General features: G+C 38.5%; 1 long non-coding RNA gene across 1 annotated transcript in view; it reads right to left on the bottom strand.

Moving 5' to 3' along the window:
• The window catches only part of SUCLG2-DT (SUCLG2 divergent transcript), a 293,017-nt gene that overhangs the window by 53,557 nt on the left and 223,067 nt on the right, over positions 1–16,393 (bottom strand). The window contains exon 6 of the long non-coding RNA NR_109992.1: positions 5,048–5,147. This is a non-coding gene — a long non-coding RNA (SUCLG2 divergent transcript). The remainder of the gene's footprint in view (positions 1–5,047; positions 5,148–16,393) is intronic.

The raw sequence follows: 16,393 nt of genomic DNA, 5'->3' as shown, positions 1-16,393 counted from the left end.
AGAGGCTGAGACATATAGGTAAAACCTGAAACGCAATGGGAAATTTTTCCAGTGAAATCATTAAACAGGGAGTATACACTGCAGATCCTGGAAACACCATATATGCTGATGTTGGGAAGATCCCACCTTCAGGTGTTTTGATTCTGTAAGTTTCAAGTGAAGCCCAGGAAAGTATATTTTTAGCAAGCATCCCCAAGAGATTCCGTGCAAGTGATTAAATACTTCAAGAAGATTGATGGCAATATGATTGTGGTTTCAACTAGTTCAGAATGCGATCATCCTGGAAAATTTGTCTCAGGCATCCATGAAGCAGCTTCTTTGGCACCATTTATATTACCAACTTAAGGCATGTTATATCTGTTGTTTGTAAGCTTCGGAGGCTAGGAATGTAGTTCAGGAGGTGGGCCAGATATCTACCAAGGTGGAAAGAAGTGCAGGAGGGTGGAATGCTTGAGGAATATACCACAAGGTGTACAGTATGAAAGGAGGGCTCCCCGGGCTGTAAGATGCTGAACCAGAACCTGAAGACAGGGTGGAACATGTAAGGGAGGGTACAAGCATTTCAGGTAATTGAGATTTGTAGTTTCAAGGTCTGGACTGAATGTGGGTTTGGCTCCTTCCTAGCTGTGACATTCAGCAGGCTGTGTGACTTCTCTTTGCATCAGTTTCTTCATATGTAAAATGGAAATAATAATTTCAGCTTGGTAAGACTATTGTGAAAAGCATATAAAGTGATTCATCAAGTAAAGTACTTAAGGGACCTGGTACATAGTAAGTGCTCACTCAATATTTATTGAATAAAAAATTAAAACGTTAGCATTACTTTGCTCTATTGGGGGGTCCCAGTCTTGCTACAACCTCAACAAATATTTTTGGAAGTGATGGCTCAATATGCCATCTCGAAAAAGCATGTGTGTTATCAAAGAACCATTGCTCTCAGCTGCAAGGGACAAGAAACCATTTTGTTCCAGTTCTTTATTTTGCAGTGGGCAGAGTACAGTGAAAGGAGCAGAGATTTTGAAATTAGATGTATCTAGAATTCTGTATAACCTTGAATATGTTTTACAAACTCTCCCAGGCTTGTTTTCTTCATAATACAACGTGTATAACTCTCAGAACTGTTAAGAGACCTTATTAATGCATTCACTCAAAAAATATGAATTAAGCATTTACAGTGTGTGAGAAACTGTTCCAGGATCTGAGGATCAGCAGTGAACAAAATAAATGAGCGATCCCTGCCCTCATCTAGCTGACATAGACAAGAAAAGGTAGGTGTATTATTTCCCTAGGGCTCTGCAACAAATTACTACTAACTGGGTGGCTTAAAACAACAGAGATTTATCTTCTGGTGGCTAGAAGTCTGAAATCAATGTGTCCACAGAGCCACACTCCCTCTAAAGGCTCTGGGGAAGGATCCTTCATTGCCTCTCCTAGCTTCAGGTGGTTGCCAGCAATCCTGAGTATTCATTGGTTTATAGACACCTCACTCAATCTATTCCTCCATTGTCATGTGGCACTCTCCCAGGGCGTCTGTGTGTCCAAATCTTCCTCATCTTATAAAGACACTAGTGGTTGGATTTAGGGCACACCCTAATCAAGTATCATCTTAAATTGACTACATCGGAGAAGACTACTTCCAAATAAGGTCACATTTACAGATACCAAGGGTCAGGATTTTAAAACATGTTTTGAAGGAGACACCATTCCACCCACAACAGGAGGTAATGAACAACCCGATTAGGTAATGTCTGATAGGAAGATCCTGGCTTTCAGAAGGCCCTCAGTAATGATAGGTAACACAGGTAACATATCTTGCTCACTGTTTACATATAAGGCCATAGATATGTCTTGCTCACCAAAGATCACAAACCCATTATATTGGAAACTAAAATTCTGGTCAAATAACTTTCCACAGAAGGAAGGCTCTTTCCAAACACTAATGTCTCCCCAAATACGTTATTCATAGGCCTTAATGCTCCTAAGAAATTGGAAGGAATTAAGTGGATAATCTTTACCTTTAATGAGTATGTATTAATTTGTTGGAGGAACTATTACAAACACAATAAACTCATGATTTTACAGATAACACTTATGATGTGCTTAATAGAGTTTAAAATTTTTTAATTAGCTATTTATTGTAGATAAATTAATAGAAAAAGTTGAGGGAAGAGTTGGTAAGTGGCTACAGAAAAAATGCTTCAGTGATACTTGAGTAAAGCAAAGTTTTCAGAAATACCATAGTCATACGTGTTATTTCTCTGTTCATCCTGTCAAACAAACTAGCATCCGTGGCTATATGTTTAACATTAATCCAATTTGTAAAATGCAGGTTGGGAAATTCCCCAGTTGGGGCATTGTGCATTGCATTAGGCCATTCTTTCGTTGCTACAAAGAAACAGCTGAGAAAGGGTGATTTATAAGTAAAGAGGTTTAATTGGCTCTCAGTTCTGCAAGCTTTATATGAAGCATGGTGCTGGCATCTGCTTGGCTTCTAAAGAGACCTCAGGAAGCTTACAATTATGGTGGAACGCAAAGTGGGGGCAGGCACTTTACATGGCAAAAATAGGAGCATGAGAAAAAGATAGTGGTGGCAAGAGGTGCGGTACACTTTTAATGGATCAGATCTTGTGTGAACTCAGAGCAAGAGCTCACTTATCACCAAGGAGATGGCCCAAGCCATTCTTGAGGGATCTACTCCCTTGATTCCAATACCTCCCACCAGGCTCCACCTCCAACATTGTTGATTACAATTCAACAGGAGATTTGGATGGAGACGTATATCCAAACTATATCAAGCATGAAGACTATGTTTGCATGTCAGTGACCTGCTAAACTAATGATCATTTCCCTCAAATCCACATCTTTCCATCAAATGGTGCTGGGACAATTGAATATCCACATGCTAATGAATAAAGTTCAACTCCCCATCACACCACATAAAAACTTAACTCATTAATATCTGACAAGGGTATACATCTGACACGTGTGTGTGTGTGTGTGTGTGTGTGTGTGTGTATCTATTATTGCAAGTTATTTCTTCCATTTGGGGGCTTATCTTTTTACTTTCTTGATGGTGTCTTTTGATCTATTTTTTTCTTTGTTGTACTTCCTTCTAAGCATTTGATAGTTTTAGCTCTTACACTTGGGTCTTTAATCCATTTTGTGTTAATTTTTGTATGTGGTATTCTCTCAGTTTTTGCTTAACTTGAAATGTCTTTATTTCTATCTTATTTTTGCAAACAGTTTTGATGGATTTATTGGGTTGCAGTATTTTTCTTTGAATACATTGGCTATATCATCCTACTGTCTCTGACCTTCATGGCTTCTGATGAGAAATCAGTTAATATACTTGTTGATCCCTTGTAAGTGATGAGTCACTTCACTTTTCCTACTTTCAAGATTATCTCTTTGTTCAATTTGATTATAATTTGTCTAGGTATGAATCTCTTTGAGTGTATTCTACATGGAGTTCATCGTGCTTCTTAAATATACAGAGAAATTTTTTTCATCAGCTTTTGAAAATGTCAGCCATTATTTCTTTAAATATTCAATCTACCCCTTTTGTTCTCTTCTCTCCCTCTAGGATTCCCATTATGTGCAGGTTGATACATTTGTGTGCCCCACAAGTCTCTAAAGCTCAGTTCATTTTTCTTCCTTCCTTGTTTCTTCTGTGTCTCAGACTGGATAATCTCCATTTACCTATCTTCAAGTTCAATGATTCTTTCTTTTACCAGTCCAAATTTGCTGTTTAGCCCTTCTAGTGAATTTTTTATTTCAGTTATACTTTCAATTCCAGAATTTCTATTTAGCTTTTAAAAAATATTTTTCATACCTTTCTTGGTAGTCTCTATCTGGTACAAAATTGTTCTCACACTTAAGTTTTATAAACATGTTCCTTTTAGATTTTTAAGACATATTTAAAATAGTCAATTTAAAGTCTTTGACTACTTATTCCAACATTTGGGCTTCCTCAGGGACAGTTTCTATCAATTCATTTTTTCTTAGTATTGGCCATACTTATTTATTTGTGTGTCTCATAATTTTTGTTGGAAACTGGACATTTTACATAAAATAATGTGGAAACTCTGAAAGCCAGAATTTCTCCTCCTCAGGGTTTATTGTTGCTGACTGTTGTCATGTTCTTATTTAGTAACTTTTCTGAACTAATTCTGTAAAAGCAGTACTCTTCATTTTGCTTGGTCAGTGAAATGTTGCTCATTAGCTTAGTGGTTGCTAATAATTGAACAGATGTGTTCTTTAACACATGAAACTGATAGCTGTTCCAGTCTTTGTTGAGTGGCTCTGCATGAATGTTGGGGCATACCTTTAACACGCAGCCAGTCAGTAGACAATTTCACCTTAGTCTTTACTTCTTGCTAGCACAGAACCTCAAGGTCACCCAAAGGTGAGAGCTTAGGACAGTCACAGGTCTTTCCAGAGTATTCACACAGTCCTAGGCCTGTGTGCAGCTTTACACATGTGCATGGCCTTCTAAATTCCTAACAGCATGTTGGAGTCTTCCAAAGCTTTTATAGACTATCATTCTCCAGCTTTTTCTTTTAAGTTTTTTGGTTTAGCCTATTATTTGACCCAACTGTGGTCTATTGCATCAGGCAGCCACAAAGTTAAACATTTGGCTCTAAATGTTTTTGACAGTGTCCCCAAGAAAACAGATTTCTTCACTTGGTGAGATGGAAGTCAGGTCAAATAAAGACAGCTTTGCAAGTGAGGTCTTTCCAGGAAAGACTATTCTGCCAGTAGCCCTTCCAGTGGCTACTGTGTTGCTGGTTTTCACTATGACTGTGGTCTGTTAGTTTTCTTTTCTGTTTTTTTTTGGAGACGGAGTCTCCATCTGTAGACCAGACTGGAGTGCAATGGCATGATCTCAGCTCACTGCAACCTCCACCTCCTGGATCCCAGTGCAAACAATTTTCCTGCCTCAGCCTCCTGAGTAGCTGGGATTACAGGCACATGCCACCATACCCAGCTAACTTTTGTATTTTCAGTAGAGATGGGGTTTCACCATGTTGGCTCTTGAACTCCTTACCTTGTGATCCACTCACCTCGGCCTCCCAAAGTGCTGGGATTACACGCGTGAGCCACTGTGCCCGGCCTGTGGTCTATTAGTTTTCAATGCAACTGTGGAACTGGAGAAAGGGAGATAGAAATAGAGCAAATTAAAATGCAACAATGTTCACTCTTCTTATGAAGATTCACTTGTTTTTTAGAACAAATGTTCCCTAGGTTACTGCAAGCCCTTGGTTAATTTCCAAAGTCTGAGAAAGTTGGTTCTGATCATTTTTGCCAGTTTTTTCATTGTTTTTATGGAGGAGAGAAATTTCAGAGCTCCTTATGTGTCCAGAATTGGTGGGTTCTTGGTCTTGCTAACTTCAAGAATGAAGCCACGGACCCTCATGGTGAGTGTTTCGGTTCTTAAAGATGGTGTGTCTGGAGTTTGTTCCTTCACATGTTCAGATGTGTCTGGAGTTTATTCCTTCTGGTGGGTTCATGGTCTTGCTGACTTCAGGAGTGAAGTCGCAGACCTTCACAGTGAGTGTTACAGCTCTTGCAGTGCATCCAGAGTTGTTCTTTCCTTCCAGTGGGTTCGTGGTCTCGCTCACTTCAGGAGTGAAGCTGCAGACCTTCCCAGTGAACGTTACAGCTCATAAAGGCTGCATGGACCCAAAGAGTGAGCAGCAGCAAGATTTATTGGCAAAGAGCTAAAGCACAAAGCTTTCACAGCATGGAAGGGGACCCAAGCGGGTTCCCGCTGCTGGGTGGGTGTCCAGCTTTTATTCCCTTATTTGGACCCGCCCACTTCCTGCTGATTGGTCCATTTTACAGAGCGCTGATTGGTCCATTTTACAGTGTGCTGATTGGTTCGTTTTTACAGAGTGCTGATTGGTGCATTTACAAACATTTAGCTAGACACAGAGTGCTGATTGGTCCGTTTTTACAGAGTGTTGATTGGTGCGTTTACAAACCTTTAGCTAGACAGAAAAGTTCTCCAAGTCCCCACTCGACCCAGGAAGTCAGGCTGGCTTCACCTGTCACTTACATCATCATTTTTAGTGCTGTCACCTCTGTCCTTCTTTCTTCATCCCTAAAGGCATAGTTGGCTTACAACCTGTGCTGTATTGACTCTTCCCTTTTTCTCCCCTGGGTTTTTTTTTTTCCCTCTCCCTTAATTTGCTCCCAGAAAATACCACGTGTCAGGGCTGGGTAAAGATGCAAGTGTCCAGTTTGGTCAGTATTTAGAAGATGAGAATAATTGAAGGGTAAGTCATTTTTAAATTATTTTTGTTCCCTCTAAATGGTGATTATTTAACTATCTTGATATTTACACTACAATAAAACTATCTACCAAAGCACACACATTAAATGGCATTTGTGTCCTGACACTGAGAAGGAAATGCATAATGAGACCATCACCTACCAAAGCACACACAGTAAATGACATTTTTGTCCTGACATTGAGAAGGAGATACACAATGAAACCATTGCAAATGCTCAAGCTGATGAATACAGGTTGACTTCTTCCTTTTTAATCACATCAAGAAATACATATTTTCTCTCATATGGTCTTCCCCACTGATAACCCAACTTTCAACTTTGACCCACATTTACCTTTATCTGGTAGTCAATTTCTTTAAAAAGCAAAGTTGCTGTTGTTTTTTTAATAAATTCACAAATGTTACTAAATATAGGAAAGAGTCAAAGATATCAAAGCCCCATTGAGATCTTGATGTTGGGCAGTTATCTAGGTTTACTCACTAGCTAAGTGACTTATGACTTATTCTTTCACCTTACCCAAGAAATTTGAATGCTGTTATCTGTTACAGACCTTTGAGGTTACCAGGACATAGCTTAAACTGTGAGCTTTTGAATAATAAGGACCAAGGCTTCTATGCAAACTTTGGAGATTTTTTATAGTTGCTTTCTAGAATAAAAAAGCCAGTAATACCTAAGAGCAAAAGTAGCATCACCAGTTATTTTCTATGTCCTTTCCAGTCAGACTTGACCTTTTCTTCAATGCTTCCCCAAATTCCAAATTATTTTCTGCCTGAGGGAAGGAAAAGCATTGCCTCCTGCCAGAGACAGCCAAGATGCTGCAGAAGCAACAGCTGGCCAGAAGTGATTTTCTGTGATTTTCCCTTCCTGTGGAGCATGCCAGTCATAGAAATGGAGCATTATGTTTCTAGGTAAGAATCCCAGATTGGTAATTCTTTGGGCTTTATTTAACTTCTTTTGTTTGATGAACATTACCAAGCATCTCTCTATACTCAAAGGTCTAACATTTACAGAGCATAACCAGAAAGACATCTGACCAAATAGAATGATGGAAATTATTTCAATTGAGGCTACAATGACAACATTAAGACAAAACTCATGCCATAGTACCTTACAGCAATGAACTCACAAAAACAAGACACAATTTAGGGATGGTTATGGTCCTGAGGTCTCATAGGCAGTTGGGAAATGGGAGCTTGTGTTTCAGTATAAGAAATTATTCACTTAATGGAAACTCGGTGTTCCAAGTTTGGCCAGGTTTTGGTCACATTAGGAAATTTGTTTGCCATTTATTTCCTAAATATTTTGGTTTAGAGACTTTGAGTATTTGTTTTCACATCTTGGAACTAAAATGTGAACAGAATTTGTTGGTTGGCTTTTTAAATCATTATGTTAAGAAAGAGCCCCTATCCTCTACCCCAACTGGAGAATAGTTCAGGCATTTCCTAACTGCTCAGTGAGGCTACTTTGATCTGCCAGAGACAAGGTCACTTGTAGAAATGGTGACTGTTCCACTGGACACATTTGTCTGCCTCTGAGCATGGCCTGAAACATCTGGCTGGGACAGCAACTCACAGCCACTTTGTTCACTGTTACAGACAGATCATGAATGATATGGGTCTGGGGAAGGGAACACACACAACAGTGTCCTGGCCACTTATTTTAATTCATGAGGGAGATAAGGAAGTAATAACCTTGCTCTTAATGTGAATTCCAAGGAGGGAGCTAAATAAATCACCTCTACTCTATGCACACCATTATTAATCTATACAAATACTGGTCAATTAAATTAGACTACACTTGAAAAGTGCTTGGCATTGCAGCCTGACACATAGTAAGGCTTTTTGTAAATCTTAGTGGCAATGAAAAATAAATCATATTCTGAACTACTTAGTGTTATGTTGCATGCACTTAACATTCCAACAGAGAAGATGACAGTGCAAAGACACAAGACACAGTGCTTTTTGTAAACTCATTGGGCATCATGTAAGATTTCATATGTCTGAGAGGTCAGATGTTTGGCTTTTGAACATGAATGTTATGTGGGTGTGTATTTGGGAGGAGAGATAGAGTATCAGCAACTATGGATGTGAGAGGTTTCAAGAAACACAATTAATGAAGGTGTAATGTGAATTGTCTGACACTTACCTCCTTTGTGGACACTATGAATAGCCAATGATCCAATAACATTCAAATCTTTGAATGTCTACGGGTTAAGCAATAGCATACTACTTTGTTTCAATATCCTTTGTGTAAGGACCCTCAGTTAATTTCTGCTTTGAGACTTATTTCAGGAAAATCACTGTCTTTGTAGATTAATATATCTTCCATTTTCAGAAATCACACTGCTTCACTTGGCATCTTTCTTTTGTTGCTTTAGCCACTTTATAGTTATACCTCACTTTATCACCCAGGTGGGTAAAATCTGCTCAACCAATATGTGGAGTGCTAAAAACAACAACTCCTTCTGCTTTCTCCAGACGGTTTAGAGATATCTAACCCTATCCAGTGTTTGAAGTTCCTTTAAGCATATGAAAGTATAAAGAATAGCATAAAATAGCCTTTACAAGATAGCATTTATAAGAGAGCAATGTGGTACTATGGCAGGTTAAGTGTGATTCTCATTCAGAGAGCTGCGGTTCAAATACTGTTTCCACCAATTACTTGCCTCTTCAACTTCTCCATATGCCATGGCTCTTTGTCTTTGTTCCTTTGGCTTACCTAGCCAGAATGCCTTCCCCTGCTCTCCTCTTACCTAAGCCTGGTCATCAGTCAAAACCTTTCAGGTTCCACGTCCTCGGCAGATCCCTTGTAGATAACTCATATCAATCACTGTATTTCTAGCCCTCCAAAGACAGTGAATGGCTCAGGAGAATGTGTGACCCCAAATAGTCTCATCGAAGCAAAGTGCTTGAGTGCCTAGGATTTGCACTGAAACCATTTGAGGAAGAGGAAAAAAAAAAAAGGAAAACTAACAGGCCACAATCATAGTGAAAACCAGCAACACAGTAGCCGCTGGAAGGGCCACTGGCAGAATGTGGTTGGAGCTTCTGCAAAGACTCATTTTCAGAGAATTGTTATTATATAACCTTTTTGGTGGTTCAAAAAGGGGCTTGCTGGTGGCCATGTTGATACCCAAAAGGAAGAAGTTCCCTGAAATTAACACTAGCACTAAGGAAAAAAGCTTCAAGAGACAGAGACAACATACACCTTTGGGTATTTAGATCCAGTCCTGCTTGAAACCATGTACAAAGAGACTTTGAAGGTATTGAGTAATTAGTTATCTTTTGTGGTTTAGCCTGTTTCAGTTGGATTTCCCTACTGAAATGCTGAAAGCTGCTGCTGAAAGCCTACTAACTAACATGCCCACAGCATGCACAGTACTAGGAATTCAACAGTAACTAAAGTAAATGTAGCCTCTGCCTCATCAAGTTAACATTCTTGTGAAATATGTTAAGACGTCAATGAGTCATAATAACTGCTAATGATGGACACATACAGGGGGCTGTGGGAGCACTCAGAGGAGCACCTGATCCAATGTAGGGGAGCCAGGGAGAGGAAGACTTCTCCGAGGAAACACGACCAGATTAATTCCCTGCCAACTGTTCCTCAGGGTTAAATTAAATATATTACATTTTTGGCCTCAAATTGAGTGCACAGTGAGTAATAATGTTGACGCCTAGCCATAGGTACCATTATTATAACTCTAAAACTATAGCTTTACCTTAAAATTCCCACCCAGTAAGATGTCATCCCTTCCTTCTATTTTAATAGCTAGATTTGCATTATTCATGATTATTGCCTCAAAAACATAAATTATCTCAGCTGTTCAGCCATCATATATATAGTTTCCAACCCTACCACCCACTCCCAATCAGAATTTTGGCCATGGCCCCAGTTGTTACTAAGAGAGAACACATAAACGTTAAATACTATAACAATCTGTGGTAGAAGGGAAAAAAATCAGCAACTGACAGTGCTGCAAAATGTAACCAGGAAAACAAAAATACCTCATCCAAATGCCCATTTTTTTTAAAGTGATACACTCTGACACAGCAATTCTCCGTTAGGTTTAGTAAACCCATCAAAAAGCTGATAAAATGGACTCGATAAAACCTTTTTTATGGCCCTTTTCCTGAGAAAATAGTAGAGCTGGTGAAGGCTTGAACAGTAGATTAAATATCAGCAACTCATGAAGGACAACATGAATTTCCATGCATTATATACATATTAATTACATAGCAGAAGTTGTAAGAACTGAACATTTAACCCTTAGCTAGAAATTTCAAAGGACCAATAATATTAGAATGCTCAATATCTGGTCTGAGAGTTTTTCTTCCTAATCCGTGTGCCCTTTGATAATTAGGTATAAAAGGTTTTCTCAGTAATTGCACACTAAGAGATCCAGGATGGAACGTTATCAAGCTGTTCTTCAAAATACCTATATAAAGAATGAGTTCAAATTAAAAAGTACAAGAGAAAAAAAACACACACTGAACTGTAAAATTATGCAGAAACTCTCTTTGATCAAGATATTTCAAACTTGGAAGAATATGTGAGAAATAAATCCACAAGGGTAGGACTGATCAGATGCGGTGGCCAATGTCCAAGGCAGTCCTCAATGATTCTTGCTTCCTGATGTTTATTCTCTTGTGTATTCCCTTCCCACAGCGAATAGGGCTGGTCTGTGAAACCAGCTGAATATTGCAAAAACGAAGTGTGACTTCTGAGGTCAAAAAAAGGTGTGGCTTCTTTCTTTTGAATCAGACACTCTGGGGAAAGCCAACTGCCATACTACAAGGACATTCAAGCAACCCTCTATAGAAGGCCAAGCCGGGAGGAATTGGGACTTCTCATCTGCGGTCAGCACCAACTTGCCCATCATGTGAGTGAGCCGCATTGGAAGCAGATCCTCCAGGCTCAGTCAGGCCTACCAACAGCTGCAGCCCTGGCTGACATCTTGATCAAGACCTTCTGAAACACCCTGCATCAGAACTACCCAGCTAAGCCACTCTAGGATTCCAGACTCACAAAAGCCATGAGATAATAAATGAACATTGTTGTATGAAGCCCCTGTATTAGGCTGTTCTTACATTGCTATAAAGAAATATCTGAAGCTGAATAATCTATAAAGAAAAAAGGTTTAATGCAGGTTGTACAAGCATGGTGCCAGCATCTGCTCCACTTCTGGAGAGGCCTCAAGGAGCTTTTACTCAAAGTAGATGGTGAATTGGGAGCAGGTACATCACAAGGCAAAAGCAGTAGCAAGGGAAGGTAGAAGGTGCCACACTTTTAATTGACTGCATCTCATGAGAACTCAGTCACTATCACAAGGACAGCACCAAGCCATGAGGGGTCCTCTCTCATGACCTAAACATCTCCCACTAGGCCCCACCTCCAACAGCGGGGATTACAATTCATGTGACGTTTGGCAGGGACATATATTCAAACTATACCAGCCCCTATATTTTTGGGTAATTTGTTATGCAAATGATAGATAACTAATTCACTAGACAGATTACCTCAATTGTTTCTCTAACTTCTAGATTGTAAAGTGATTATTTATTTAATAATAGAAGACATATTTATTGTTCTAAATATCCATCAATGGCTGATTACTACTCCATCTGCAAGGAACTGTTTGGTAAATGATGATTATACACATCCATTCATCTAGAATATCTCCCTGCACCGTGGCCTTCAAGTAATTGTGAAATAACAAAACTGGCAAAAGACCATGAACATCCTTAAATCCAATCCCTCTTCAACATGCTGGCTCTAATTTCCCCAAACTAAGCCTAAACACCTTGAGTGAGAGGAACTGATTATTCATCAGAATTCATTCAAAATCTCTCAAGCAAATGAACTCAAGCAAAATCTATCTTCTTGTGAATTCCAAATACTGACCTCGGACACTAAGTCTTATTCTTCCCTGGTCAGTCTTTTTAGATTACCGAAGAAAATGTTACCTTCCAATTTGAGTTCTCTCTTACATAGGATAAAGTATCCAGCACTATCTCATAAGATATCATTGAACCCCTGACATCCCTGATGCTCTGAACTTGCCTCAGTTTGTCTATAATCAGAGCCCATTAACTAGCAGGCTACAGATTTGTGGACCTTTTCTTGTGCTTCTGTTTGCTTGTTTCCAGAGATTTGAACTTGGACACTTTTTGATTCAGCGTGGTCTTTCCAGTACCCATAAGCCCCACAACTCTTTCCTTTTTGTAAATCTGTTCACTTCACCCATTTCTTACCTTTCTGTCCCAGGGCTCCTAGAATATAGCAACTATTTCTGACCTACAATAGCTTAAAACTGCTGCTACTCCTGTTTCACATGCCACAAGTGGGGTTGATTCAGAAAGCTTTCCATGGTTATTGGTGGGATGAAATCAGGGCTTCATCACTTTCTTGGCTCATTCTTAGGCATATTAAGTTAATAAGTATTTATTAATTATGTCCTGAGTGCCTCAAATCAGAAGGTATGTTGAATCATATAGAAAACAGAAAACTCGGCCGGGTGCAGTAGCTCACCCTGTAATCCCAGTGCTTTGGGAGGTCAAGGCAAGAGGATTGCTTGAGACCAGGAGTTTGAGACCAGCCTGGGCAACATAGTGTCTCTATAAAAAAATTTTTTTAATTAGCCAGACATGGTGATGCACATCTATAGTCCCAGATACTCAGAAGACACATGAGGAAAGGGAGAAAGCAAACAAACATGCTATACCAACTGAAAGATGGAGTCAACAACCAGCAAACCTCAACTGATAAAATATAAGCAATAAATACTTGACAAATTGAAGCAGGGGGACATTGTCTAAGCTTCATATGGTTAGAGGAGGGGACATGAAAAAATATGAATTCCTTACTGGCCAACTGTGATTCTGCTCAGTCCATAGTATGAGTCTCTTTGAAGAACAATCACTCTGAGTGTGTTTAATCATTGCCTGGCAAAAGCCACCTCTGCCTTTGCTCCCTGGTGCTGGCAACCTTAAGGACTAGATTTTGTTGTTGTTTTTTGCTGTGTGATTTAGTGATTATATAAATTTGGGAGAGTTAGCTCTAAAGTCCTTTTACCTTTCTATTAAGGAAAAAGTTATAGTGGATCAAAAATGTAGGCTGTGAATTGTTCTCAGTAAGGAATATGAGGGGGAAATAAATAATCCATGGCAGACCTCAAGAGGTCTGTCTTTATTGTCTGTTTCATGGTACACACATCCCTCAAGCCTCAAGTAGAATAATTACTTCTCTAAATATCAGCTGAAAGGGGGGACCAAACTCAGCACACAATGGCACACGACTTTTAATTCCAGTGACAGCTAAAACACCATTAAACTGTACTTCAAGTCTTTGAAGTACTAAAAAGTTCAGTTAGAAAATAGTACATGGCCATGTATCCAGTTTAATAGCTAATGTAGTTCTCTCTCTGTGTGTGTATGTGTGCGTGTGTGTGTCTCTGCAGTTGAGAAGACATTCAAAGTACAAAGGAATGGTACTGGAAGCTTTAAAGACCCAAAGTAAAGTAGCAAGGCTTTCAGAACAAGTTAAAAGGGATGTGGAAATTATAACCTCCCCTTCTCACTTCACTGTCATTATCCAATCATATTGTATAGTCTCGAGAGGCAGTAGGGATTATTGATTAATGGCATAAGCTTTCTATGAGGTCAGACAGACTTCAGGTTCCCTCCTACTCTGAAGCCTAGACAAGGTTGCCCTAATTCAACCATGTAACTCCTGCGACCCTCAGTTTTCTCATCTAAATATGCAGATAAGAGTAGTACTTACCTCGTAAAGTTTTTAGAAGAATTAAATGAAGAGATATATGGTAATCATAACTGTCAGCCATGTATTGAGAGCTTACTATGGACCAAACTCATAGCCAAGTGTCACATTGTCTCTTTTAATCCCAACAGTGGTGCTTCTCTTTACCAATATAGAGAATAATGAAGACAAACAAATAGGAGAGAGAATTACATGGGATTCCATTTATGTATTTTATTCTATTTATGAGGAAGTGTCAACAGGCCACAGGAGGAGAAAACATGATCTCCACATCTGAACAGTCTCTCCAGATCCTCCTTAGACAAAGCCGTCCCAGAATTTTCAACTTCTCTCACCTGTCAATAATGTCCTTAAGAAAGGAGTCCATGTTCTAGATATAACCTGATAATATTGTGTGAAGTGACTCAAGGCGTGCAGTTGAGGTCACATCATCTGTTTAAGCAGCTGTGTTCTATAGGCAGCACTTGTCATCTAGGACCTCTATTTTCCCCTTTATGAGCAGATTTTAATCCAGATTACCCTGATATTCTAGGAAATTTTGTGCTTCTGAACTTTTATTGTTATCACATCTACACTTAATGGAATTCTCTCCCCCATTTGAGCTCATCCTGTTGGATTTTTATTTGGATTTTGGCATTTTTCACATTAGCTTTCCCTTCCAACTTTGATATCACCACTGTACTGTAAGGGGTCTTTCATGATGATCTTTAAGCCAAAAAAAAAATGGCAAAAAAAAAAAGAAAACTGAAGCCAAACAAACAAAACATCTTCATTGTCACTATAAAGAACATGAAGAAGCATTTCCAACATTACCTAGAGTCCAGCAAATGACATACCATGTCCGACTCTGTCCAATGTGCAGCAACTGACATGCTGTCTATGTTACCTTTCAGTATGAAACATTTGTATATCCATACTCTAGTACTTTAATTCTCAAGCCATGAAAGAAAATTTTCCATAGAAAACACTAGAAACTTTTAAGTTACAATTTACTACAGATACAAAAATGTGCAGTTATACAGCAACAAGTTGGCTTCAGGAATTCTCTGAATTTTGAGAGTCTAACTTTGTGCAAAGCAACGTTCAGTTACTGAAACTGGAAATTGCCAGTGAAAAATGCATTTCATTATCAGGTTTATAAGTTATTCCTGTGCATGTTGAAACTTGTAGAATTAACTGTTCTATTTTGGATGTGACAAGATCCTTTCATGATATTAAATACATACCTCTTTGTTTCCTGTATTCTGACACAAGAAATGAAGCAGGAGGGTTTATCAAGAACTACTGAAAAGATGCTTTTCATACCTCAAAAATGTTCATGTGAAATGTAAACAGCTAATAACTGTTTATACTGAAAGAACAGTTTCCATTTTGTATAGAATAATAAAAGTATTACATTCATAGCTACTATATAAGGTTAAAAATTATTTAAAATATGTAACCATAACTCACTAAATATTGAGAAATAAAGCTATGAATGGGTTATAAATATATATAGTTGTAAAAATTTAATCAGTAAAATTACATATAGAACATATCGAAGTTATTTTTAAACACAGAGCAAAACAAATGCCCAGAAGTTTGTCTACAAACTATGAATTTCAGAGAATGTTCATTGTCAAGGACTATTATAGGTTATAAGTTTAGAAATCCACATGGACTTCTAAACGGTTTGTTGGCTCCTTCCTATAATAACCTGTAGAAAAGAACTGACAAATCTTGTGGCGTATCCTTTTTTTTTCTAAAAGCCATTATTTATGACATTTTTCTCAAATCATTTTCCTAAGAGTGCGTTATGGACCAGATCTTGCCCACATCCTTTGGGCTAAATGGATAGTAGCAAGGTTTTATATTCAGTCGCACCTAGGCTTGACTACAAGCTCTACATACAGCTTCTTAACTCTGTGATCTTTGACTCATTACTAATTACTAATTACTCATTCTCTGAGCCTTGGTTTCCTAATCTGTAAAACGAGGATTGAAATGGTTTTAGAATATGAACATTCACAACATTTTAAAAAGGAGAATTAACTCCTTTTTCTTTTTTCCTTATGAATTCTGAAGATTAATTTTAAGAATTTCCCTTTACTTCCTGGCATCATTTAAAGTTTAGGTTTTTGATTTTGAAGTCAAACTTTAAAAAAGTCAACTTTAAAACATTTTTGATTGCTAATAATTTGAATTATAAGTTTAATGAATCCTTCCTGTCAACCGTGAAAGAACAAGAGGAAAAATAATTGCAAAAAGAAAGAGAAGGAGGAGAGGGAGGGGCAGCATAGAGATCAAAGTAAAGTGGAAGAATTACTTTAAGAAAAAAAAG

The sequence above is a fragment of the Homo sapiens genome, chromosome 3 (genome assembly GCF_000001405.40).
Source record: "Homo sapiens chromosome 3, GRCh38.p14 Primary Assembly".
Taxonomy (NCBI): domain Eukaryota; kingdom Metazoa; phylum Chordata; class Mammalia; order Primates; family Hominidae; genus Homo; species Homo sapiens.
The sequence above is the reverse complement of the archived record's forward strand: the minus strand, read 5'-3'. Positions and strand labels throughout refer to the sequence as shown.